We start from the raw sequence: 26767 nt of genomic DNA, 5'->3' as shown, positions 1-26767 counted from the left end.
AGCAGCAGCTATCTCTGCCTCTCCTCAATTTCCTGGGGCTCAAGGTGGACTTTTGACTCCCAGAGAAGAGCAGGAGCCTTTCCTGCATTTCCGTTCAACATTCAAGCGCCTTCTCTCTCTCAGAACTAGTACCCTAACCCTACTCGGTAAAGATGATGCCTACTTCCCAGCCAGGGTGCCTGGTGAGATTCAAAGCCACCACCATGAAAACACGGGAAACTCTAAAACCAGCTATGTGGCAGATGTCAGTCTCAAACATGAGATTGTTAATTGCCTGGATCCCTGGGGATACTGAAGGGACTGAGGGCAAAATAACTAACTGCACTAGTAGAGGAATAAGACTGGCTTGAACTTGCATTCCCACTCTACCAACTCCAAACTTCACTGTCCTCATTTGTAAATAGGTTGCTATAAGGAATAAATGACGTAACACATGAAGTGTTGGGCACAGTATCCGGCTCATAGTAAATGACCAATACATCCCAGCTATCATTATTCTACATTAATAACAACCATGACACACAGCTACGATGTGTGTGGGGGGAGGGGGAAGACTTGAGAGAGCAACCTTTCCTATCACTCCCTCATTTCACAGGTGAGGAAACTGAAGTCCAGGAACAGGTTCGGAGCCAGCTCCCCGCTTTCCAGAGTTGAGGAGAGGAGGAAGGAGAGAGGGGGGAATCGCAGGAGAGGGAGAGAAGCCGGCGGGATTCGAGGTAGGCCTCTGGGGAGCGAGCCGCATAGCTTGCAGGGCTGCATCTGTGAGAGTGAGGGGTGAAGCCTAAAGCAGCAGCCCTGCGTGATGGCTCATGCGTGTAATCCCAGCACTTTGGGAGGCCAAGGCGGGAGGATCGCTTGACCCCAGGAGTTTGAGACCAGCCTGGGCAACATAGGGAGACGTCCTCCCATGTCCCTACAAAAAAAAAAATTTAAAAACTGGCCGGGCGCGGTGGCTCACGCCTGTAACCCTAACACTTTGGGAAGCCGAGGCGGGCGGATCATTTGAGGTCAGGAGTTCCAGACCAGCCTGGCCAGCATGGTGAAACCCCGTCTCTACTAAAAATGCCAAAAAAAAAAAAAAAAAAATTAGCCGGGTGTGGTGGGCGCCTGTAGTCCCAGCCACTCGGGAGGCTGAGGCAGGAGAATCGCTTGAACTCGGGAGGCGGAGGTTGCAGAGAGTCAAGATCGCGCCACTGCACTCCAGCCTGGGTGACAGAGCAAGACCTTGTCTCAGAAAAAAAGAAAAAAGAAAGACAAAGAAAGCAGCAGCCTTGATTTGAGAGGGAGGCCCCCAGTGGGGCTTGAGGGCGGGACTACGGAAGGCAGGGGATGGAAGCAAGAAAAGGCAGGTTCCGTGGGAAAAGCGAATTAAGGGCGTAGGATTTGGAAGCGGGGCTTGGAGGATGTGGGTCTGAAATGAAAGGGGGGACTAAGGGAGTAGGGAAGTGGGGCTCTTAGGCGGTGAGCCTGAGGGGACAGGGGCTCTCCTAAATGAGAGACCAATGGGAGGGAGCTGGGCTCTTGGAAGGCGGGGTCGAAGGGAGCGAGGTACTGGCCTGTGGAGTAAAGGAGCCGCGAGGTGAGTGCGGCGGGGGTCCGGCGGGTGACGTACAACATCTCACCTGTCTTCGGCGTCGCGGCTTCAGCCTTCGTGTCTGGTCGGCTCCCGGAACTGCCCCCGGTGCGCCTGCGGCCACCGGGATCCCCGAAAAGCCCTAGCCGGGCGCTCAGGCCGCTGCCTTGGCAACGGCGTCGGACGCCGCGGTGCCCGCGGGGAGGGGCGGGAAGCGCGTCACGGCGAGGGGACGGTCCCGGAAGTGCGCCAGTCGTACCTTCGCGGCCGCAACTCGCTCGGCCGCCGCCATCTTGCGAGCTCGTCGTACTGACCGAGCGGGGAGGCTGTCTTGAGGCGGCACCGCTCACCGACACCGAGGCGGACTGGCAGCCCTGAGCGTCGCAGTCATGCCGGCCGGACCCGTGCAGGCGGTGCCCCCGCCGCCGCCCGTGCCCACGGAGCCCAAACAGGTACCTCTCCCCCGCCCCTCAGCCTGCAGCCGGAGGGTTGGCCTGGGCGCTCCTTACTCGCACAGGAATAAGCGGCCGGCCGCTATGAAGGGCTTGGAGGGACTGCAAGTCCCAAGAGGCTGCGCGCTTCCCGCGCTATGGTGGTGTTCTGGTAGCGAAATGAGCCACCCTGAACGGGATTCTCTAAGTGGTCCGCGGAGCAGCCCCGTCGGCACGAGCCGGGAGCTTCTTAGAAATGTGGAGTCTCCGCCGTAGATCTTTTAAATAGGAATCTACATTTGAACAAAATCCTAAGGTGATTGATTTATAAGTGCGAGAGGCGCTGATCCAGCCCATCCTCTGATCTTATGTAGCAGTTGGGGCCGCCGGCCACAGCCTTTCCCCAGTAATGGCTAATTTCCCAGCCTGCACGGTACATCTTTGGATGTTAATTCTCAGCATCTATTTCGGTGTCTGCCCCAAGCCAGACACCGTGCCAGGCTCCCACATTACCGGAATGAATGGGGCATGGTCCCTGCCTAGGGAGCTCACAGGCTAACGAGAAGACAGACATATGAGAATGCTCACCAAATGTTTGTTGTCCCAATGGCCATCGATGATACAGTGCCAGCCCGCCCTTAATAAAGCTCTCCAATCTCGAATGTGCACAAACCATTGTAGTATGGTGTGATATGCCCTGTGATAGAAGTTTCAGGTACAAATCTAATGAACATTGTTTGCTGGGCTAGAAGGGATATTAAGGTAGGGAAGCCCACAAGAGTGAGAGGTAAATTTCTTTTAGAAGAAGGAATAGGAGTTTGCCAGGTAGGTGACTAGGGAAGGGAAATAGCATCCTTTATTCATCCAGCAAATATTTATTGAACACATACGCTGATCATTGCTTTGGGTTCAGAATAAGGGGGGCGGGGGGGGGGAACATGACTGAAGAAGCCATGCCTTTTCCACAAATATTTAAGTGCCCGTGTGTCCCTGGCATTTTCCCAGGCATTGGGGGAAAATAAGGTAATAGCCAGATAATATGCGCAAAGACACCGAGGTGAATCAAACGGTGTCTCTGATCAAGAGTAAATGAACAAGTGTTGAAGCATAGACTTAGGAGCGTAGTGGCAGGAGATGCGATTCTTACTTAGGATTTGAACTTTTCCTTGTAGACAGTGGGAAGAAAAGGGAGTGTTTTAAGCCAAATAGTGACATTTGTGTTTCAGAAATTCAGGTAGGCAGACGTGTGGAGAATCACTATGAGGGGAGGCCAGTCACGCTATTCCAAAGAGGCTGAAGGCCTGGCCGAGATTAGGGCAGAGGGGGTAGGCAGGCTCTTCAGCCAGAGTGGTGTGTTAGAATCCTGGTTCTGCCAGTTGGACATTAAGCTCTCCATCTCTCAGTTTTGTCATCTGTAATGTGGAGATATTAAGAGTTCTTGGCCGGGTCCAGTGGCTCACGCCTGTAATTCCAGCAGTTTGGGAGGCCGAGGCAGACAGATCACTTGAGGTCAGGAGTTTGAGACCAGCCTGGCCAACATAGCAAAACTGTCTCTACTAAAAATAAAAAATTAGCCAGGTGTGGTGGTGCATGTTTGTAATCCCCACTATTCGGGAGAGAATTGCTTGAACCTGGGAAGCAGAAGTTGCAATGAGCCAAGATCATGCCGCTGCACTCCAGCCTGGGCGACAGCAAGAGACTGTCTCAAAAAAAAAAAGAGTACTTAATCTTATAGGCTTCTTCTAAAGGTTATAAGAGTTAATATATTTAAAGTGCTTGGGAAAAATACCTGGGATCTACTCATAGCTTGATAAAAGTTTTTTTTAAGAGACCGGGTGTCGTTCTGTCACCCAGGCTGGAATGCAGTGGTGCAGTCATAGCTTACTGCAGCCTTGAATTCTTGGGCTCAAGCAATCTTCCTACCTCAGCCTCCTGAGTCACCGGGATTATAGGTGCAAGCCATTGTGCCCAACTTGATAAACGTTATTATCATCGAGTGTGGAAGCTGAGGAAGAGAGAGGAGCCCCCAACTTTCTGGCATGGGTGACTGGGTAGCTATTCCTGAGGAAAGAGGTTAGAGATGAAAGTGCCCAGTAGTTAGCTGCACCTGAAGCTGTTTAGTACACAAGAGTGTTCTGGGACATCAGTTTGGGCCAGATTGTTTAGTCTAGAGGCGGAAGGGGAAGTGGAGGACACCAAAAACTGAGAAGAGAACCAAGAACAGAATTGGGCGGTGGGAGTGGGGATCTCCAGCTTCACAGTGCAGGAGGTGAAACGGGTCAGGAAGGAAACTTGAATGGAATGGTGAGCAAGATGGGAAGACAGGCAAGAATGGGGCCTAGGAGTTGAGAGTTTTGTGAAGGAGTGGTCACCATTCACGCCCAGATAATGGCTGTGGGCAGTTGTTTTTGACTTTGTCAAGAGCACTTAAAATGAATGGGGACCAGATGGGAGGCAGGGAAGTGGGACCAGCAAGACTGAAGAGAACTCAGGATGTTTAGCTGCCAGAGGAAGGTGTGGGAGAAGGCAGCGGCAGAAAAGAACATGAAGGCAGAGGAGAAACTTCGTTTCTCTAAGATAAGAGACTTGACCCTTTGTTTACTAAGGGGAAGAAGCTGCTGGTGAAAAAATATTGGTACTTATGGGATCGTTAGTGCTGAGCCTTCCAGTGGAATTTCACAAAACACTTGAGCATTGAATGTTGGTTAAGACAGTGGAGTAGAGGCAGAGAGGGCATTCAGGGCAGAAGAATTTGTCAGCAGATAGTTTCCCATTTCTTTATTCAGCAAACAATCATTAAAAATTCCATGCCAAGCCCATCGCTGGGTGCAGGGTTACAGACATGGCCTGGATTCTGGAACATGGTTTCTCAGAATGTAGTCGGAGTCCCTGCATCTGAATCACCTGGGCATTTGGTAATGTAGCAGGACGAGTCGCAGACAAAACTCCTCAGACACCGGATTAAAGAAGGAAGAGGTTTTTTATTCATCCGGGAGCGTCGGCAGACTCGTGTCTTAAGAGCCGAGCTCCCCGAAAAAGAAATTCCTAGCCCTTTAAAGGGCTTACAACTCTAAAGGTCTATGTGAAAGAGTCATAATAGATCAAGTAAGCGTGAGGAACGTGACTGGGGGCTACATACATCAGCTAACAGAACAAAAAGTTTTACAGTGCTTTCTCATACAATGTCTGGAATTTACAGATAACACCAGTAGTTTTGGTCAGGGGTTAATATTATTATTATTTTAACCACCAGGGCCAGGTGGTGGCACCAAGGTCGTCTAGCTATTTATCTTACTTCTGTTTCTTTCCAACTTTTTGCTTTCTCCCTTTTCTCCTGTCTTATAAACTAGGGAAAAGGGGAGGTTGGGGAGAAACTGGGAAGGACAACAGGAGAAGTGCTGGTCTCATACCATAGTAAAAATGCAGATTCCTGGTCTCACTGAGATAGTCCAGTGAGAGAGGAGCCAGGGAAGCTGCTCTTCTCCCTGGGTCCCCAGGAGCAGCCCCTGCAGGTGCAGTGAACTTAAGAGAACTGCTTTTCTGAAGTAGAGGGTTCTAACCTGAGGGAAGTCTGTGAATGAAAGTCTACTCTGAATGATATCCTAGAGGAGTTTTACAGTGGAGAACCTGCTCTGAACCAGGGACTTTAAAACCTTATTTCTTTTCCTGTTTGCACAGCCCACAGAAGAAGAAGCATCTTCAAAGGAGGATTCTGCACCTTCTAAGCCAGTTGTGGGGATTATTTACCCTCCTCCAGAGGTCAGAAATATTGTTGACAAGACTGCCAGCTTTGTGGCCAGGTAACAGAGCTACTTGGGTGGGTCAGAGGTGGGTTTCAGCATGAAGAGACTTCAGCACTGAATCAGCACAAGGGTTTTTAAAGAGACGTTGTTGGCTTGGGCCTTTTAGTTCATAAAAAACCACAACATGGCACTGGGGTAGGCAATAGGTAGGACTGGTGTCCCTGACACAGCATAGCAGTGGCCAAAGTGAGAATCACACTTAGCCCCACAGTCACCAGGAGCCTCTGCTTCTAAAACTGGCCTGAGGAAATGCCTGGAAAGCTGCTTCATCACAGATGGTGTGTGTCTGTGCCTGAGCTGCTGGCCTGAGGAAGATAAAAAGGGGAGTTTATTATTCTCATTGTACAAAGACCACATTCCAAGAGCCTCAAATGACCCATCTGCAAAATGGAAAAAATGCCATCTCAGAGTTGTTGTGAGGCGGGAGTGAGGTCATGGGGCTGCATGCAGTTCAGTTCCACGCGGGTGCTAGTCACCTCCTCAGATGGCATGGGCATTGCTCCGAGTTCCTCCTGTCTCTCCTCACAGTTCCATGCAGGTGCTAGCCGCCACCTCAGATAGAATGGGCATTGTTCCGAGTTCCTCCTGTCTCTCCCCACAGTTCTGTGCAGGTGCTAGCTGGCTTCTCAGATGGAATGGGCATTGGTCAGAGATCCTCTCTCTCCCCACAGTTCCATGCAGGTGCTAGCCGTCTCCTCAGATGGAATGGGTATTGCTCTGAGTTCCTCCTGTCTCTCCCCACAGTCCTGTGCAGGTGCTAGCTGGCTTCTCAGATGGAATGGGCATTGGTCAGAGATCCTCTCTCTTCCTACAGTTCCATGCAGGTGCTAGCCGCCACCTCAGATGGAATGGGAATTGCTCCGGGTTCCTCCTGTCTCTCCCCACAGTTCCACGCAGGTGCTAGCCGCCACCTCAGATGGAATGGGAATTGCTCCGAGTTCCCCCTGTCTCTCCCCACTGTACTTACCCTCACATCCTTAGATGGAATTTTTTTACTGGCCCCTTGACTCCAAAGGTCAGTACATTCTCTAGGGTATTTAAGGTATTCCTTTGGCAGCCCTCAGTCCATGTCCAGCCTACAGATGTTTTGTTTGTCCTCACAGTAATTTTTTCGAAACTCAAATTTGTTGCTACTATTTAAAAATGAGGAGGTCAGGTGCTGTGGCTCTTGCTTGTAATCCTAGCACTTTGGGAGCCCAAGGTGGGAAGATCACTTGAACTCAGGAATTTGAGACTAGCCTGGGCAACATAGTGAGACCCTGTCTACAAAAAATAAAAAGTTATCTGGCTGTGGTGGCATGGGCCTGTGATCCCAGCTACTTAGGAGGCTGAGGCAAGAGGATCGGTTGGGCCCAGAAGGTTGAAGCTATAGTGAGCCATGGACTCTAGCCTGGGTGACAGTGAGACCCTGTCTCAAAAAAAACAAAACAAGTAAAAATGAGATTTCACAATCAGTCTGGATTTCTGGACAGTTCCTTCATGTGTGGAAGCAGGCCCAATCAGCATGTGTTCTCCAGGGACCACGTCACCCCCCTGAGGCAGTGTCTCAGTCAGTATGCATCATTTAACGGATGGTCCTTCCTTTCCCAACCTAATAAAATTAGACATAAAGATTACTTTGGTTAGACTTTCTTTTTTTTTTTTTTAAATGACATGGAGTCTCACTCTGTTGCCAGGCTGGAGTGCAGTGGTGCAGTCTCAACTCACTGCAACCTCTGCCTCCTGGGTTCAAGTGATTCTCCTGCCTCAGCCTCCCGAGTAGCTGGGACAACAGGCGTGCGCCACCACGCCCAGGTAATTTTTGTATTTTTAGTAGAGACGTGGTTTCACCGTGTTGGCCAGGCTGGTCTCAGTCTCTTGACTTAATGATCCCCCGACCTGGGCCTCCCAAAGTGCTGGGATTACAGGCGTGAGCCACGGCACCAGCCTACTTTGGTTAGACTTTCACTATGTCAGCTCTGCAGATTCATCTCATTACATTTCAAGGGCTTTGATTACCTTTGAGTATTAGGTTGAAAGCTTCTCTGTGCTTGATTGAACATTGTGATGATGTTGATTGGGTCATGTCAGATTTAGACAGTGTTGTGTTTAAGATAAATGTTTAATGGCTCTTAGCAGTGTTCATGCCTCCCCTTTTCCCCTGATACTTTAAAAACAGAATATACAGAAAAGGGGAGTTGGGTGAAGAATCACCATATTCTCATTACCAGAGTAGTGTCTACCAGCTGTTTTCACATTTTTCTGTTTCCTTCTGTCCTTGGAATCCTTTTTTTAGATCCTTGTAATACTAGTAAAGATATTCCACTCTGTGTTGTAAGCATTTTTCCATTTTGCTCCATGGTCTTCATAATGCCCTGTGGTCCTTTATTAAGGGGATGCACCATGTAGAGGTGAAAGGCTTTCCTTGACTTGGCCACCATTTCTGTATTTTCCTTAGAGGAGGAGGTTTCCAACATTTCTTTTTTAGAGACAGAGTCTCGTTCTGACACGCAGGCAGGAGTGCAGTGGCATGATAACAGCTCACTGCAGCCTTGAACTCCTGGGCTCAAGTTATCCTCCCACCTCAGCTTCCTGAGTAGCTAGGACTACAGGTGCCTGCCACCACACCCAGCTAATTTTTTTTTTATTTTTTTTATTTTTTTTAGTTTTTTTGTATAGATGGGGTCTTTCTGTGTTGCTCAGGTTGGTCTTGAACTCCTGGCCTCAAGTGATCCTCATGTCTCAGCCACCACAAGGTGGCTGGGATTACAGGCAGTGACCACCGCACCTGGCCTGTTCCCAACATTTCATTTTGGCAAATTAAGCTGTGGGGAAATCTCTGAGCATTTTCTTTCCCTTTTAGATCGTTTCCTTAGAAGAAAATTCTGTGTGGCTCATTATTGGCTAAAAGAGCATCCTTAAAAGATTTCTTAAACATTTTGCCAAGTAGCTTTCCAATAATTTTGTGCCATCCTCTGCTGCTAAAGAAATAAGAGGATATCCAAGGTCCCTTTAAATATATATGACCAGGTTAGGTGGCTCACGCCTGTAATCCCAGCACTTTGGGAGGCCAGGGTGGGAGGATCGCTTGAACCCAGGACTTGGACACCAGTGTAGGCAATATAGTGAGACCCCTGTCTCTACAAAAAATAAAAAAATTAGCTGGGCATGGTGGCGCATATCTGTATTTCTAGCCACTTGGGAGGATCACTTGAGCCTGAGAGGTCAAGGGTATGATCATGCCAGCGTACTCCAGCCTGGGGCGATAGAGCAAGACCCTATCTCAAAAAAAAAAAAAAAAAGAAAGAAAAAAATCCAAAACCATGCACATCCCTAGATTGATTTTTAGCTATGGTGATTGCTTTTGTAGGCATTTCTAAAATCTGTGAGCCAGTGTGGTGGCTTACACCTGTAATCCCAGCACTTTGGGAAACTGAGGTGGGCAGATCACCTGAGGTCAGGAGTTCAAGACCAGCCTGGCCAGCATAGTGAAACCTCGTCTCTACTAAAAATACAAAAAATTAGCCAGGTGTGGTGGCGGGCGCCTGTAGTCCCAGCTACTTGGGAGGCTGAGGCAGAAGAATCGTTTGAACCCGGGAGGCAGAGGTTGCAGTGAGCCAAGATTGTGCCACTGCACTCCCACCTGGGTGACGGAGCGAGACTCCGCCTCAAAAGTAAATAAATAAATAAAATCTGTGAACTTATCGTTTACATTGCAACAAAGAGACCAATATCCGAGTTAAAGCAGGCATGCAGAACTCTGTGCTTCACTTCTCCTGGGTTCACGTATATTTATGGAGCATGCAGTAGAAATGCACAACTGAGCGGTTTTCCAAAAGTTTTTTCGCTAGGTTAGGCCTTTTCATTTCCTGCATGTTCCTGTCAAGAAACTGAAGTGGAAATTACCCTTAAAAAGTCCCACCAGCTGGGTTGAGTCAGAATCATGTCTTTTTCTGTTGAAATCTATTCCTTCTGGTGGAGAGTATGATTCTAAAATTAACGTTAAGCTAATTTAAAGCAACTGAATAGCTTGGAATGAACATGCCAAGCCTTCTCATTGTTTTATTTTTCAGATTGTTCCCAGATGGGGTAAAGTTATGGCTTAGGCAGTGGTACAGGAGACAACCAGGGCCCCTTTTTCCAGGAGCCCTTTGTCTGCCCGAGGCATTTGCTGGGTATAGTGGCCTAGTTTAGCAGGATTTAAGTGTGCATTCACCTTCATTCTTATGTGTGGTTTGCATTATTTAAGGAGTAGGGAGAATTTTTTTTCCAAAGCATGAGGTTCCAGTTAGACTAATATACTGTCAAATTGAGACCTCATGGTGTTAGTTACACGGCAGGGTATGACCACGACTTGCTGAGGAGCCAGCCTGGGTGTCGATCACTAGTGTGGCACATAATTGCTGTGGTGGTTGATCTGGGGCACAGCACTGCCTGTACCCTGTCTCCTGCCATCTGTCTTAAAAAAAATTTAAAAAATTTTTGTTTTCAGAGGTGAAATTTCATTTTGTTGCCCAGGCTTGGGTATGATCTTCTGGGCTCAAGTGATCCTCTCGCCTCAGCCTCCTGAGTAGCTGGGACTACAAGTGTGCGCCACTGTGCCGGGCTCCCACCCCCTCTTAAACTCACAGGCCAGGGATATGAAAGTCTGAAGAGTGGAGCTGGCTAGCTGGCACCAGATGCCGGGGCCATGCCTTGGTGTGTTTGGGGCAGTTCTAAGTACAAGGTTCTCGCCAGAGGAGCAATGGAAGGCCCCACAGACAATGTTTATGGAACAACCCCTCCTAGCCCCTTGCATTTGCAGGCCACTGTACGATTTGAAAAGACTTTGAGGGCTGGGTTCAGTGGCTCACGCCTATAATCCTATCACTTTGGGAGGCCAAGGCGCTTAAGCGCAGGAGTTTGAGACCAGCCTGAGCAACATGGTGAAACCCCGTCTCTACAAAATGTAAAAAAAAAATTAGCCGAGCATGGTGGTATATGCCTGTAGTCCCAGCTACTCAGGAGGCTGAGGTGGGAGGATCCCTTGAGCCCAGGAGGTGGAGGTTGCAGTGAGCTGAGATTGTACCACTGCACTCCAGCCTGGGTGACAGAGTGAGACCCTGTCTATAAAACAAAAACACTTTGGCATCTCCTCAATAATGTTTCAAGGTAGAAAGGGAAACTGGTGTTAGCTGCATTTTACACATGGGGAAATGGAAGCAAAGAGTAGTTTGGTAACTTGCTGTGGGTCAGAGTGAGTCAGCAGTGAACCTGAGACTTGAACGTGTTCATATCTTGTGTCTTTAAGGTCCGTGTACTTTCTGACTGACACAGGTGTTGTATATAAGTGTGGCACTTTGAATATTACTGTTGGGACATTTTAAAAATCAGGGTTCCCTAAACATCATTATAGGGACATTTTTTCATTATCCTGAGGTTTTGAAGGCTTGCTGGGGACATGGGGCATATCTGGGGAACCATCCCAGGTACAGACAGTGGTTGGAGACCTCCCTGCTGATCTTACCACACCCCTGTCATCTGAAGGTGCCTTATACAGCTGTACGAGTCTGGGTTTTTGCTGAGGATGTTTCCTGTGTGGGCCTCACCAGTATAATGGGGGTGGTTTTAGGGAGTACTTGGACAAGGCGTTAAACCAACTATTTGTTTTTTGTTTGTTTGTTTGTTTCTTAAAGACAGGGTCTTGCTCTGTTTTCCAGGCTGGAATACGGTGACACGATTCTAGCCCACTGCAGCCTCAGACTCCTGGGCACAAGTGATCCTCCCACCTCAGCCTCCTGAGTAGCTGGGACTAGAGGCACACACCACCATGCCCAGTTAATTTATTTTTATATTTTTTTGTAGAGTTAGGGTCTTTTCTTGTTGCCCAGGCTCAAATCAACTAAATTTTCATGTCTTTCAGTCTTTCTTGTTACTCAGAGGACAAAGTCTAGGTTTGGTGCTCATGTACCTTTTACACCTCTCCAGCACTTGCTACCCCTTTGAACTAAGAGAATTAGTCTCAGCAAACTTCCAGCTAAACTTTGACAGTATTACTTTGTTTTCATTATGTTCACTTTTGACTACCTTTTGTTGGTAAAGGCATACTGATTTTTTTTTATTTGAAGTAGTAATATGTATTCTCCATCTTAAATAGATTTTTTTTAAAGTAAATTTTATTAAAAGAAATGAGCGATAGCCTAGATGGTTTTGGAAATGGCAGAACTGGAAAAGGAGCTAAGGAATGACTGGGTTCAGGGAAACCCTGTGGCAGAGGTGGCCTGGTTCAAGCTGAATGAGGCAGATGGCACTGATCGCCAATGCCAGGAAGCTAGAGGAGGACGTCTGCTGAGGGATGGGCTGGTTTGAGCAGTGGGTGGTGGCAAGAAGGACGTTCCAATGGGCAGTGTTCTAGATCACAGCAGGCACAAGGGAGTGGTGTTTATTCTTGTTGTTTTTTCTTCCTCCAGAAACGGGCCTGAATTTGAAGCTAGGATCCGACAGAACGAGATCAACAACCCCAAGTTCAACTTTCTGAACCCCAATGACCCTTACCATGCCTACTACCGCCACAAGGTCAGCGAGTTCAAGGAAGGGAAGGCTCAGGAGCCGTCCGCCGCCATCCCCAAGGTCATGCAGCAGCAGCAGCAGACCACCCAGCAGCAGCTGCCCCAGAAGGTTTGGAGCCCAGTGCCCCCTTCACTTACGCAGGGCTTGAGAGGGAAACAGGGATAGGGAGGGAGTACACAATTAACTCCAAATCTCACAACCACCCAGGGAGAGAAGTGAGGTCGTTATCCCCATCTCTCAGAGGCAGACCGAGGCCCAGACAGCAAAGTACTGATGTTAGTTGGCATTTCCCGAGCACTGCTTGTCAAGCTCTGTGCTTGGTACTTCAGGAGTCTTGTCTCATTGACTCCTCACAGAGGCTGTATGAGGAACCTGAGAGTTGGGGGACGTGTGATTTATTCAAGGCCTTGCTCAGGGTGTGAGGGCAGTGCCGTGATGTGAGGGCAGCACTTCCTACTTGGCTGTGCTGAAGGATGCAGTGTGGCCTGTGGGCTCCTCCTTGTGCCATCCCTTCCCTTCTATCTCTTCTTCCCAGGACCCCTCCATCCTGGCCTCCCCTGATACCACCTTCCCTGTGCTGAGGCCCAGCACTAGGGACTATTAGGATTATGAATGAAGAGAGAGGCTGACATGTTTTTCCTCCTGTCCAGACCTGCCTTCTGCACTCCTGAACCATGGTGGAAAAGGCAGTCCCTCCTTTTGCAGTGGGCTATAAAGGTTGAAGTCAGGTTCTAAGACCTTGCGTTGCAATGAGGCCTAGGACCTCAGGCTACCTCAGTTTCTTCATCTGTAAAGAGGATTCACAGTACCTGTGCTACCTCATCGTTCATGCGGAGGTCATGGAAACACTTTGTACAGTGGGGTTTTCTGCACACATGTAGGCCTTCTGCACATCCATCCCTCTTGGATGGGATTTAATAAGTCCTATTCTTGTTGGATCTTCTGTCACCCAGTTTTGGCCCTCAATTTCAAGGCAGGAGCAGAGATACAGAGGGGAATGGTTCTCACTCAGCCATTCAGGAAGTTGAGGCCATAGTTGGCTGGGAAGTCAATGCTCTTGTGATTTAGAATTCTCTCACACCAAGTGCTAGTGGTGTGTGCATAATTAACAGAAGTCTAGAGGTTCACAGCATCCTGCTGAGGGGTGCATGCCCATGTCCCCTCCCCTCCCCTCCCCTGGAGCCTGTTCACCCCTGTGCCTCTCGCCTCATACTCCCTTTGCATCTTAGGTCCAAGCCCAAGTAATCCAAGAGACCATCGTGCCCAAAGAGCCTCCTCCTGAGTTTGAGTTCATTGCTGATCCTCCCTCTATCTCAGCCTTCGACTTGGATGTGGTGAAGCTGACGGCTCAGTTTGTGGCCAGGAATGGGCGCCAGTTTCTGACCCAGCTGATGCAGAAAGAGCAGCGCAACTACCAGTTTGACTTTCTCCGCCCACAGCACAGCCTCTTCAACTACTTCACGAAGCTAGTGGAACAGTACACCAAGGTGCCTGGGCAGGATGGGGCTGGGGTCCTGGGCCCAGGAAAGGAAAACATCTTATGCTTGGAAGCACTGTGTCCACTCACTGTCTACAAGGACATCGCTTCTCCATGGGGCCTCTGAGCAAATGTTTTGAATCCCAGTTTAATGTAAAACCTTGATTTCTATTCAGTTATTTCTTTAAGTGCAACACAGACTGCCGGTTTCTAAAGAGAAGGGAAATACATGCTTGCTAACTACCATTAGGCGATTGCCTGCTATGTGACAAGGCCACGTGGTGCTTGCTGCTTTTAAGTGCATTTCCGTTTTCAGTTGCCTAGTAAGGCCCTGAGAAGAAGCCAACCTTTAAGAGTTGCCTCCTTTTACCTAACTTAGTCCTCACAAGAAGCCATGAGGTGTTTTCCCCCCATGTTTGAGAAGCAGAAACAGGCTCAGAAAGGTGAAGTCACGTACTCAAGGTCTGTCAGCTAGTAAGTACTATGCTGAGATTTAAACCACATTTGACCCTAAAACTTTGGTTCTTCAGCTTATAAAGTGCCTTAAATTGGAAACAGCATTTAAATAGGTGTTGAGAGACACTTTGATGTCATGTAAGTCAGTATAACTAACATCACTAAGAAATTATGTATGCAGCATCTTCTCATTTAATCTCCGGTAGCCTATAAGGTAGCCACTATTGCTATGTTCACTTTACAGAAGAGAAAATTGAGGTGCAGTGAAGTTAGCATGGCCAGGGTCACATAGCTAGGAGGTGGCAGGGCTGGGGCTTGAGCTCTGGCATTTTTACTCCAGACCCTAAGAACTCAATTATCATTTGACAGAGCTGCAATCAAGAATCAGGACAAGTCAGTTCTGGCATTTAAAATAATCAGATTATTAATTTATTGCAAAGTGCACTGACAGCTTTGCCTGTGGCACATTTTTCTTGCTACACATGTCATGGAGGTTGTTTTCCTTCCCTTTACAGTGGGATGGTCTGTACATCTCTTCTTCATATCCAGAAACAACACCTCAAAGATCTGACTTGAAAGGACTTGAGAATTTCCTAACTCTACTCACTTTTAAGTACATAATTAGAATTTTAACAATGTGTGTGTTTAGAAAATGACCAAATCCAGAAGCTAGTATGGTAGCTAAAATAACAGTCATTCAAGGCCCAAGGCCCAAGGGTTTCTATAAATATGCAATATCAATTTTAAATGAACCCTGGATTAATTTCTCCCAGTGGACTGCTTCCAGGGTTAAAGGTCCCAGATCACTTTTTATTCTGTTACTTTCCTGTTTTTTCTTCAGAACTTGGGTATTGGCATTTACCACTGTAACTTGAGGTTCCTGCTGTCTGTTCTAGCCATGGAAGACTGAGCAGATAGATTCTTGGGGTAGAGGTGGAAGGAGGATTGGGATAGGGCCGAGCCACTTTGCCAGTGGCAGTAGAAGCTGTTGGGGCTGTTTAGAACAAAGGCAGCATTTGTTCTCTCAGTAAGTATACATTGTCAGACATTATTCAGGGGGCTGGAGATGTAATCGTGAACAAAAGAGAAATCCCTGTCTTCATGGAGTTTCTAGTCTAGTGAGGAGGAGTCAAGTGCATTGTCAGTGTCTGTTACATGGTGCTAAATACTACAGAGAGAAAGCAGGGAGCAGAAATAGAGGGAGGTGGGGCAAGTACGCTGCGGTTCTGAATAGGATAGTCAGGGGGGACCTGCGTAGTGTTTTTGAAAGGATGAGAGCAGGTCAGTGTCATGAAAGCAGCCGTCTCATACTGACCGTGTTCTGGGTAATCGGCTAGTGCTTTGCATGCTTTCCTGCTAATCCTCGAAGCCACCTTTTTAAGTTCATGGTGCCAACTTTGAGTGGTGGTGCCATTATTTTGGAGAAGGAAATCAAGTTACTGAGGTTAAGTAACTTGCCCTAAGTCCCACAGCCAAGTGGAGCTGGGATTGGGACACAGAATCCCATGCTTCCTCATCTCCTGTGCTTTATCACAGGCCCAGGAAGGCTGCCTCTTTGTACTGCGTTGTAAAGCACTGACAGTTGCTTTAACTCTTCTGTATTTCAGATCTTGATTCCACCCAAAGGTTTATTTTCAAAGCTCAAGAAAGAGGCTGAAAACCCCCGAGAAGTTTTGGATCAGGTAAACTGAATAGCATTTCTTGCAACCAGTTACTGGTGGTTGGTTCTGTTTTATGTCTGAAAACAGTCTCTGAGGCAGGACCTTGTTATGTTCCAGTCATGGGAATGGTGGGAGAAAAGGCTTTGTTGGCTACAAAGGCCAAAGAAACCTGGAGTCCGGATGCTTCCCAACATACCACAACTTTCTGCTTTGCTCTCAGCCTCAATATATCTCCCTCTTTTCCACTCTAGCTAGAAGACAGAAGGCCAGCTCCCAAGCAGATCAGAGGGTGGAATTTTCATTCTGTCCCAACTCTGCACCTGGGTGGAACCAGGTGCAAATGCCATAGTTTGGAACCATACTTCCATTCTGTTCCGAAGGAGGCGCTGACTTTGATGAAAGCCCTGGAGGTGGTAGCCTCATCAGGAGCAGACCCTGCTTCAGCGTAGCACCAAGCTGTTTCCCATCTCTGCAGGTGTGTTACCGAGTGGAATGGGCCAAATTCCAGGAACGTGAGAGGAAGAAGGAAGAAGAGGAGAAGGAGAAGGAGCGGGTGGCCTATGCTCAGATCGACTGGCATGATTTTGTGGTGGTGGAAACAGTGGACTTCCAACCCAATGAGCAAGGTAGGTCTGTGAGGAGTGACTCCAGATGGGGAGCCAGGAACTCAGACTTCCCGGGAAACCTGGTGCAGGTGTTCCCAGAGAGCAGTAGAATCTCTCAGAGGGCTTTATCAGTGCTGTCTCCTCCCTGCTCCCAAAAGACTTCAGTTCTACCACTTTGCCCAACTTAGATTCAATACGTACTTGCCAGACCCTAGATGGGCCTCTGGAGATAGCTGGAGAGAAAACAGACATGGCCCCAGCCCTTGGGGAGCTCAGACAGGGCAAATAGGTGGGTCTTTGATAAGGAATACCTTTGCCTCTGGCTCACCCTCTAGGGAACTTCCCTCCCCCCACCACGCCAGAGGAGCTGGGGGCCCGAATCCTCATTCAGGAGCGCTATGAAAAGTTTGGGGAGAGTGAGGAAGTTGAGATGGAGGTCGAGTCTGATGAGGAGGATGACAAACAGGAGAAGGCGGAGGAGCCTCCTTCCCAGCTGGACCAGGACACCCAAGTACAAGATATGGATGAGGTAAGCTGCTGGGCAGGCCTGCAGGATGACCTTTTCCCCTGAAGCCCCAGGAGGTCGAAGTGCTCTCCACCAGTCAGATCCAGCTCCCCTGTGAGCCTTGAAAGGAGGCGTGGGTCCTGAACAAGGCCATACAGCTGCCCAAGTCCAGGCAGCACAGAGCCTCTTTCCAGCTCCGGCAACAAAGATTCATTCATAGGCAAGGATCTAAAAGCTGTGCTGACCTGTTCTGTGGCCGCCTCCCTGGCCCGGACAGCCTGCTCTCACTGCCTCGTGCCAGCCCTCAGGGAACTCACTGCATTACCCTGTTCTGTTTTGAGCTCTCAGCTGGGCTCCAAGCTCCCAGAGCTTTTCTAAATGTAGCCCACGCTTCCTTTCAGGCATCCCTACCCCCTTCAAGCCAGGCCCTCTAAGCAGGCATGGAGTCTCCAGAACCAGACTGTTCTCCCCCACTCGGAAATAATTTGTGCACAGCCTGAGAAGAAAGGGCCCCTGTCTGTGGGAAATGACTTTTTCTCTCCCTCCCAGCATTGCTGTGTGAGCAGCTACCATTGATTGGCGACTCGCCGCCCCCACCCCTCGCCCCCTTGGCACTGTCCCCCCCCGGCATGTTAAGTGCCCTTGGCCTCTTGGGACTGCCTGGTGCCAGCTGCTGGAAATGCCTGGGAGGAGTGCTAGGACCGTGGCCTCAGCACTCCCATTCATGCTGTGAGGAAGCAGCTTGGCCTGCTGCCGGCTGGCCTCAGCTGCCCTGGGAGGCTTAGCACATGGACGCTGGCTGGCAGAGGCCAAGGCTCCTTGCCACCCAGAGACCTGCCAGGCTCAGCTACAGGGAGGTGGCCTCAGCCCCTCTCTGAGTCCTGCCATTGCTTTGCTTTTCAGGGTTCAGATGATGAAGAAGAAGGGCAGAAAGTGCCCCCACCCCCAGAGACACCCATGCCTCCACCTCTGCCCCCAACTCCAGACCAAGTCATTGTCCGCAAGGATTATGATCCCAAAGGTAGGGAGGGCCTGCTTCCCAACCCTCGGGCTGCCCAGGAAGTCCTGTGTGCCCTCATGTGTTCCTCACACCCGTCTTTCTAGGAGGGCTTGAGGTGCAGCTTATTGTAAAAGCATTGCAAGCCCGTCTGTTACAGGTTTCATGGTGGGAACAGGGCCCAGTCATCTCTGGTGCCCTAGTGCCTTTCACAGTGCCAGGTACAAGAGTGGCACTGAATAGATGCCTTGATGAATGATGCACGCATGAAATACCACCCTCTTAACTCAGGTGGCTGCCCACCAGTGTTCTTACTGAAACATCTGTTTCCTTTTAGCCTCCAAGCCCTTGCCTCCAGCCCCTGCTCCAGATGAGTATCTTGTGTCCCCCATTACTGGGGAGAAGATCCCCGCCAGCAAAATGCAGGAACACATGCGCATTGGACTTCTTGACCCTCGCTGGCTGGAGCAGCGGGATCGCTCCATCCGTGAGAAGCAGAGCGATGATGAGGTGTACGCACCAGGTGAGGTGGGGGTTCCAGGAGAGCCCATGGTAGTCTCCGAATTACAGCCATCTTCTTCTAAGCAAACATAGAAAGCAACAATTGAGGTCAACAAAAGCTTTTGAGGAGAGTTGCACTCTATGATATTGCAAGAGAACTCCCCACTTTCCAGAAGAACTCCCCATAGAAATTCCCCAAAGGCAGACACTGAAGGAGATGCCATGTGCCTGTTGACATCCCAGAGCAAGCTCTGGCTTTAGCTGGAAGGGCTTCCTGTGGCTGTTTAGAAGGAGAGCATTGATGGCTGGAGTACCATGAGCTCTTTGGAATGGGGCAGGAACTGTGCCACAGGTGGGAGACTGGGCTTCTAGTTTTGACTCTGCCACTTACACCATGTGGCCCTTTCCACACAGTTGCCCTCTCTAACTCACCATCTTATTTATTTATGTGTTTTATTTATGAATGACGGAGTTTCACTCTGTCTCCCAGGCTGGAGTGCAGTGGCTCCATGTTGGCTACTGCAACTTCCGCCTCTCACGTTCAAGCAGTTCTTCTGCCTCAGCCTCCCAAGTAGCTGGGATTACAGGCACGCACCACCACACCCGGCTAATTTTTGTATTTTCAGTAGAGACGGGGTTTCGCTATGTTGGCCATGCTGGTCTCGAACTCCTGACCTCAGATGTGATCCTCCTGCCTTGGCCCCCCAAAGTGCTGGGATTACAAGCATGAGCCACTGTGCCTGGCCTACCGTTCTTTTCTAAGTCAGAGGGGTTGCCCAAGCACTGGGTTTATAGGCTTAGATCGGGCAGCTTTCCCCGAGCCCAGAGGACAAGAGTTGGGGCCCTGAGTCACCCTCATCCCATGGAACCAGCCTCCTCCCTGCACACCAGAAAAGCTGCTCTCTTGTCAGGACACCTGGTTTATTTTCTCTTTCTATCCTCTGCCTCTGTTTTGTGACTGTACAGGTCTGGATATTGAGAGCAGCTTGAAGCAGTTGGCTGAGCGGCGTACTGACATCTTCGGTGTAGAGGAAACAGCCATTGGTAAGAAGATCGGTGAGGAGGAGATCCAGAAGCCAGAGGAAAAGGTGCGGCTAAAGTGGAACCTAGTGCCTTCTCTGCCCCCCGTCTTCCATACTTGGTCTTAGTTCCAGAAGCATTGTGGCTTTGCTTTCACTTGCAGGTGACCTGGGATGGCCACTCAGGCAGCATGGCCCGGACCCAGCAGGCTGCCCAGGCCAACATCACCCTCCAGGAGCAGATTGAGGCCATTCACAAGGCCAAAGGCCTGGTGCCAGAGGATGACACTAAAGAGAAGATTGGCCCCAGCAAGCCCAATGAAATCCCTCAACAGCCACCGCCACCATCTTCAGCCACCAACATCCCCAGCTCGGCTCCACCCATCACTTCAGTGCCCCGACCACCCACAGTAAGCCAGCATCTACCCTGGAACTGACTTTTTTAGAGCTTCATTCTTGAGGTCGGACACTGTTGGCTGAGAAGTGCAGCTGCCTTTTAGTGGGGCCTGAGTGTTGGGTGGGTCAGTTTGAAAGAGAAAGAGCCCTTTAAATGCAAGTGGGAACCTCTCTCTTGATCTGTTTGTGGAGGAGGGTTGGAACAGGGAGGGAGGTAAGTGGCAAATATGAGAAACCAGTTGGCGTCAGAGAAGGGCTGCAGGGCTTATTGGGTCTTTGAGGACTGTTGGCTTGTCTCCAGGAGAGACTTAGTCGAGGTCTCGGCCTCTTTTTTTTTTTTTTTTGAGATGAAGTTTTGCTCTTGTCGCCCAGGCTGGAGTGCAATGGCATGATCTTGGCTCACCGCAACCTCCGCCTCCCGAGTTCAAGTGATTCTCGTGCCTCAGCCTCCCAAGTAGCTGGGATTACAGGGATGCGCCACCATGCCCAGCTAATTTTGTATTTTTAGTAGAGATGAGGTTTCTCCGTGTTGGTCAGGCTGGTCTCGAACTCCCGACCTCCGGTGATCTGCCTGCCTTAGCTTCCCAAAGTGCTGAGATTACAGGCATGAGCCACTGTGCCTGGCCAAGGTCTCAGCCTCTTTAGTGACTCTTTCAGTGTTTGCCAAAGTAGCAGGTCGAGTTTGACCCGCCAAGTCCCAAGTAGAGAGAGTGTCATCCTCGGGCTCTCAGCAGCTCAGTTCCTATTGGACGCCCAGTGTAGGCCACAGTTTCTCAGTCCCAGGGGGCCAGGACGTAGTTGTCTAACCTCCATCCTCAGAGCTGCAGGCAGCCAGTTGCCAACTGTGTGTGACCTTGGAGTCCAACTTTGGCTTCCTGTAATCTGTGGGTCTCTTTCCTGCACAGATGCCACCTCCAGTTCGTACTACAGTTGTCTCCGCAGTACCCGTCATGCCCCGGCCCCCAATGGCATCTGTGGTCCGGCTGCCCCCAGGCTCAGTGATCGCCCCCATGCCGCCCATCATCCACGCGCCCAGAATCAACGTGGTGCCCATGCCTCCCTCGGCCCCTCCTATTATGGCCCCCCGCCCACCCCCCATGATTGTGCCAACAGGTCAGTATCTCTTGCATCATTTTCCAGGCCATTAGTTCAGGGACCACGGGCCAAGTACTGTCAGCAGAGCAGTGGCTGATGCTAGTGCCAGCTGTTCCAGCAGGGTATCCAGCCCAGAGGAGAGCCCTGGCTTCCCATTGAAAGATCCGCAACCCTAGAGCTGGGAGCCACCGTTCCTGGTAGAAATGAGAGGCTGAAATGGTGTAGCCAGTGTCTGTGCATTCAGGGATCAGGTCCCCAACAGGCTCAGAGGCCTGAGAAATGCTTGTTGCTTGGCACTAGCTCCATCCATCAGTCCTGCCCCTCCTGCAGTCCTCTGCTGTCCAATCTGGGCAGCCTCCCAGGTCCCCTTGCCAGGGAACCTGCTGGCTGCCAGACTTAGCAGGGAACAGCACTTGACACCTCTGACTAGAGGAAACCTTTGCAACCTTCCCTCTCAACTTCTCATCAGCCCTGAGTCCTGGGCCCCTTCTGCCCTCTCATGGGGCTGCTTATTCTTGTCTTTGCAGCCTTTGTGCCTGCTCCACCTGTGGCACCTGTCCCAGCTCCAGCCCCAATGCCCCCTGTGCATCCCCCACCTCCCATGGAAGATGAGCCCACCTCCAAAAAACTGAAGACAGAGGACAGCCTCATGCCAGAGGAGGAGTTCCTGCGCAGAAACAAGGTATGTAATCCCAGAATGCTGCTGAAGTTTCTAGCTGGAGGGTTCAGTCCCGCCCCTGTCGTACACTTGCGAAACTGACCCTATTTCACTCCCAGTCTTGGCTTCTGGGGCCTAGGTCAGCTGTTGGAGGCATCTAAGGGCTTCTGAGCACACAGTGAATGTGGGGCCAACAATTGGAGGAGCAGAGAGCATTGGTGGTGATGGTGATGGTAGTGGTGGCAGAGGTGGTGACTGTGGTGGTCCCTCTGGTGTAGACTTACAGAGGCCAACAGGGAGACCCAGCAGCACGGGCAGCACAACTCACGTGTGAGAGGGACCCTAGACACCTGGAGGAAATTGTGTGTGGTGTTTTAAAATTTACTGTGGCCTTCCTCCCCAGCTCTAGCCCTTAGGAGGTCTGCCTGTTGGGTGGGATCCTGTTGGGGTCCTGGAATAAGGGGAGGTGGGGACCTTGTCACTGCTAATCACTAGGGAAGCTGTCAGGCTGCAGTAAGGAGACAGAAACAGCCCCGGCCTCTGCTCCCCCAATGTATTTGACCAAATTGTTTCGTTTTGTTTTTGCAACCTCTGCCTCCCGGGTTCAAGTGATTGTTATGCCTCAACCTCCGGAGTAGCTGGGATTACAGGTGTGCACCACACACCCAGCTAATTTTTGTATTTTTAGTATTTTAGTAGAGATGGGGTTTCGCCACGTTGGCCAGGCTTGTCTTGAACTCCTGGCCGTAAGTGATCCACCACGCTGGCCTCCCAAAGTGCTGGGATTACAGGTGTGAGCCACTGCACCCGCTCTGTTTGTTTTTTAATAATAGTTCCCATTTCTTAAACGCTTAAGTACCAGGATAGAGCTAAGCACTTTACAGACACTTCCCCTCAATACTCAAAACAGTCATGAACCCTGTCTGGTGGATAATGACATTGAGGCTCAGACAAACCTTGTTAGCTGGGAAGCTGAGTTGGGAATCCAGGTCTTCCGACCCTGCAGGTCATATTCTTTTCCCTTGGGGTGTGCAGAGTATTTTCACTAAAGTTCTTCAGTTTAGCTCCAGACTCACCAAGAGACAAGATAGAGATTGTTTTAAAGAAAAGAAACCTAATCTTGCAAAGGGGGGTGACTTGTACAACCTCACAAGGGGTTATCAGTGGTGAATCAGGCCAGAATCCAGGAGCCCAGATGCACAGGTGACATTGTCTGGACAGGCCTAGGGATAGCAGAGCATAGTTCTTGATTGGCTCCGAGCTCCCTAGGCATAATGACCACCTCCTGTTTTGTAGGGTCCAGTGTCCATCAAAGTCCAGGTGCCCAACATGCAGGATAAGACGGAATGGAAACTGAATGGGCAGGTGCTGGTCTTCACCCTCCCACTCACGGACCAGGTATGGGTACTGCCAGAAACTGGCATCAGGTGCATGGGAACCAAGCATTCAGGGGAAAGCTTCCTCTAGCTGGCCTTACCAAGGAGTTGAATGACCGCTGCTTGATCCCACAGGTCTCTGTCATTAAGGTGAAGATTCATGAAGCCACAGGCATGCCTGCAGGGAAACAGAAGCTACAGTATGAGGTGAGTCAGTTTGTCCACAGACCTGTCCCTTGGGTCCTGACACCTCTGCTTTCACAGAAGCTAAATCTGTCATGGAAGCTAAAAGGGGAGTGGAGTGATATCTGGGTGTGGCCATCTGAATCCATCCTAGAAGTCATGATGCTGGCTGGGAGTGTTGGGGCAGGTGTGCCCAACAATGCAAGGCTCTGGTGGGGTCACAGTAGAGTCTTGTGTGGGATCTGTAAGATTCTTTGCCTCAATGACTGGGCATAGAGATTTAGTGACAAGACTTAGGCATGCTCTGGTGGGTTCCTGATCCAGTGGTTGGGCCATCCCTGCCAGTATGACCTCAGGCAGCCTGACTTGGAGGTGATAGTCTAGCCCCGCCTGATGCCAGGTCACATGGAGGCATTAATGTTCTTCTTCTCTGAACTTGAACAAATCCCTGCTCTGGGCCTCAGTTATCTCTATCCATTGAGGCTGTTGGGCTAAGTGATCCCTAAAGGTCTTGTGATTTCAGAGTCAGAGCTCCATGGAGTTGGTGAGGGGCCAACTTTTTGGGGAGTTGAGCTTTTGAGTCAAATGTTGACAAAGGGGAGGAGCGTAATTGGTGGGAAGAAAGGAAACAGTGGGAGGAATGAGAGGCCTCCAGTCCCCAACACCCTACCTTCTCACAAGCTCCTGTATTTGCTAAGTCCAGAGCGCAAACAGACCAAGTGCACAGTTGTAAGGTTGCAGCGGTATCCCCAAGGCTGGGTTGCCCCATGCTAAGGCACGCTGTCTGTTTTCCAGGGTATCTTCATCAAAGATTCCAACTCACTGGCTTACTACAACATGGCCAATGGCGCAGTCATCCACCTGGCCCTCAAGGAGAGAGGCGGGAGGAAGAAGTAGACAAGAGGAACCTGCTGTCAAGTCCCTGCCATTTTGCCTCTCCTGTCTCCCACCCCCTGCCCCAGACCCAGGAGCCCCCCTGAGGCTTTGCCTTGCCTGCATATTTGTTTCGCTCTTACTCAGTTTGGGAATTCAAATTGTCCTGCAGAGGTTCATTCCCCTGACCCTTTCCCCACATTGGTAAGAGTAGCTGGGTTTTCTAAGCCACTCTCTGGAATCTCTTTGTGTTAGGGTCTCGATTTGAGGACATTCATTTCTTCAGCAGCCCATTAGCAACTGAGAGCCCAGGGATGTCCTACAGGATAGTTTCATAGTGACAGGTGGCACTTGGCTAATAGAATATGGCTGATATTGTCATTAATCATTTTGTACCTTGACATGGGTTGTCTAATAAAACTCGGACCCTTCTTGTGAAATCAGTTAAATAAGACTTGTCTCGGTCACCTGTGCCCTGTCCAGACTCGAGGCAGTGGTAACACTGCACAGTGCTATGTGGCTTCTCTTTGAGGATTTTTGGGTTTTGTAACTAAATTCTTGCTGCCCTCATACTTTTTATGTATTAGAATCATATTCGTATTGCCCTTTTAAAACATTGGGATCCTCCAAAGGCCTGCCCCATGTATTTAACAGTAATACAGGAAGCATGGCAGGCACCATGCAAACCAAGGATGGATGGTGCAGTCCCTGTGTCAGTGGGCGGTGGTTTCCTGCTGGCCTGGAATCACTCATCACCTGATTGATTGGCTCTGTGGTCCTGGGCAGGTGCCTCATAGGTGTGTGGATATGATGACGTTTCTTTAAAATGTATGTATTTAACAAATACTTAATTGTATTAAGGTCATGTACCAAGGATTTGATAAAGTTTAAATAATTTACTCTCTACTTTTATCCATTTTATCCATTTTAACTCATGTAATCCTCATGTGAGTATTCCTGTTTAACACTTGAGTAAACTGAGGCACAGAGAACATAAGTTGCATGCCATAGTCACACACTGTGAAAGTGAAAAGAGAATGTGTGCAAAACACGTCACAGTCCTGGTTTCTGAGTAAAGGCAGGCTGTTATCTTTAGAATCAAGCTATCACAGGGAGATAGGCAATGCTGTGGGTGTTGGAGGAAGGTGAGAGCCTGTTGCTAACAATTTCCTGGTTTTAAAGCTAAGGCTGATTTTATTGGGAAGATCTCACATGTGTGTGGCCCCTGAGAGTTCCCAGTGCCTTTTATTTGCAGTCCTTCCATTTGGACCTCCTAGCTGCCCCATCAGGTCATCTCCAGGGCTCAGAGGGGTGAGACCATTTCCCAAGGTCACAGAACCAGCTCTCTAGTCACCACCCTGCCTCTCCCTCTCACCCAGAGTCAGTACCAGTTTTATGGCTTTATTACAAACTGCTGGGTCCCTCCCATTTTCAACTTGATTGATGGGATGTCATCCCTTATCCTGTCTGACATTTGCCTCTGGCCTGGTTGCTAGAAGTTTGCCCCAGGGGCAAGAGTTGAAATTTGGCTTCCTGAGGTGGGCTTTGTGGTTTGCGTCCCTAAAGTGAGCCCACTACTGGTTGCTTGTCCATGGCCAACACCAGAAATCCCCTGAGCACTACCTGGGTCTCATTCCAAGAAGGAAGAGGGTCAGGAGACCTGGGGAGTCTCATATTCCAAGTTCTTCTTTCTTTCTGGGAGCAGTGGGCAGTTCATGGTGTTAGGGCACTCACCCCCACAGACTGGCAAACCCTGCAGGACTTCCGTGGCTGAGGCTGTGACCGGAGGCCAGGAATGCCGTTGGGTGGATTGTGAGTGAATGGGCCCTTTGAGCTGCCCTCTAGAGAGCAAATCCAGTTTCCTGGAGCTCCTGAATGAATATCTGTACTGGCTCGCTCAGATGCAGAAGCTCCATTGACCATGAGGCCTTGTGAACATCAGTGGCCACAGGCCCAGTGTGCTGCTTGGCACTGCACTAGTTTAGGACCTGCAGCATGTAGGTAGCGTCCTAGTGTTTATAATACAAAGCTGCTCTGCACAGCTTTTCTGATTCTTCTTGCAATCTCCTGAGGATTATCTGCCCCATTTTTAAAACGAGGTGGAATACCCAAGGTCATGTAGCCAGTGAGTGCTCTGGAAAGCCAAAGCAGCTCATCCCTTCCTGGGGACCACACTGCTCTGCTCCACCAGACCACACTATGAAATAGGAATAAGTGCTCCTGTTGCAGGACTGCTGGGAAAACAGGTGGTGTGGGACTTAAGTCACCATAATTTTGAAGACTTGCATGCAGAGGGCTCCAGGAATTGTAGACATTAAGGAATTTCACTTTCAGTTCTACCCACTACTTAAGTACTTGTCATGTACTCTTAGAGGAGGCCAGTAATGATCAGAACCATTTTACTTTAAAATTAATAATATTGTATTAGAGAATATATTAAATGGTTATATTGGGTTATGTTAGGATATATACTTGAATGGAAATACATGTACTATTAGCAATCATATTTCATTTATCCCTGTAATTAGACAAGAAAGCATAATATAGCTCTACTCATGGGTACACATACCAGTGTATAAGATTTTTAGAAGTTTACTTTTTAAAAATAAAAGCAAAATGTAAGATCTTAA

At 49.5% G+C, this 26767-nt stretch overlaps 2 protein-coding genes across 16 annotated transcripts in view, besides 2 other annotated features; one reads left to right on the top strand and one right to left on the bottom strand.

Moving 5' to 3' along the window:
* CCDC157 (coiled-coil domain containing 157) overlaps nt 1–2131 on the bottom strand; it is a 22050-nt gene extending 19919 nt beyond the window's left edge. For 13 of the 15 annotated variants that reach the window (XM_024452258.2, NM_001318334.2, XM_047441442.1 and 10 more), the window contains exon 1: nt 1623–2131. The gene's annotated coding sequence lies outside the window, so the exon portion shown is untranslated. Of the gene's footprint in view, nt 1–1612 lie in introns of all 15 variants that reach the window. The other 2 variants (XM_011530263.4, NM_001017437.5) reach the window with 2 other exon arrangements.
* Nucleotides 380–979: an enhancer, noted in NCBI's record as "H3K4me1 hESC enhancer chr22:30753765-30754364 (GRCh37/hg19 assembly coordinates)". NCBI's record gives its function as "activates a minimal SCP1, AML or CMV promoter by ChIP-STARR-seq in naive H9 embryonic stem cells {active_cell/tissue: H9 hESC(naive)}" and the evidence as "EXISTENCE:reporter gene assay evidence [ECO:0000049][PMID:30033119]".
* Nucleotides 1861–26767, top strand: SF3A1 (splicing factor 3a subunit 1). The gene is made up of 16 exons (NM_005877.6): nt 1861–2025; nt 5683–5804; nt 12236–12443; nt 13565–13822; nt 15876–15950; nt 16405–16555; nt 16870–17063; nt 17943–18060; nt 18374–18559; nt 19504–19625; nt 19721–19966; nt 20858–21065; nt 21575–21729; nt 23002–23103; nt 23217–23288; nt 24060–26767. The coding sequence occupies exons 1-16, from the start codon at nt 1963–1965 to the stop codon at nt 24159–24161; spliced, it is 2382 nt and encodes a 793-aa protein (NP_005868.1). The 5' UTR covers nt 1861–1962; the 3' UTR covers nt 24162–26767.
* Nucleotides 1915–2164: a silencer, noted in NCBI's record as "silent region_13609". NCBI's record gives its function as "represses an Ori minimal core promoter by ATAC-STARR-seq in GM12878 lymphoblastoid cells {active_cell/tissue: GM12878}" and the evidence as "EXISTENCE:reporter gene assay evidence [ECO:0000049][PMID:35858748]".

Source organism: Homo sapiens, chromosome 22, assembly GCF_000001405.40.
Source record: "Homo sapiens chromosome 22, GRCh38.p14 Primary Assembly".
Taxonomy (NCBI): Eukaryota; Metazoa; Chordata; class Mammalia; order Primates; family Hominidae; genus Homo; species Homo sapiens.
This window is presented reverse-complemented; position numbering and strand designations above follow the sequence as displayed.

What these genes read in the sequence shown, in the direction of transcription:
- SF3A1 (NM_005877.6), top strand. Translation starts at nt 1,963, where the DNA reads ATGCCGGCCGGACCCGTGCAGGCGGTGCCCCCGCCGCCGCCCGTGCCC. An exon ending in AGCAGCAGCTGCCCCAGAAG is followed by an intron (nt 12,444 to 13,564) that starts GTTTGGAGCCCA and finishes TTTGCATCTTAG; the next exon opens with GTCCAAGCCCAAGTAATCCA. An exon ending in TGATGAGGTGTACGCACCAG is followed by an intron (nt 18,560 to 19,503) that starts GTGAGGTGGGGG and finishes GTGACTGTACAG; the next exon opens with GTCTGGATATTGAGAGCAGC.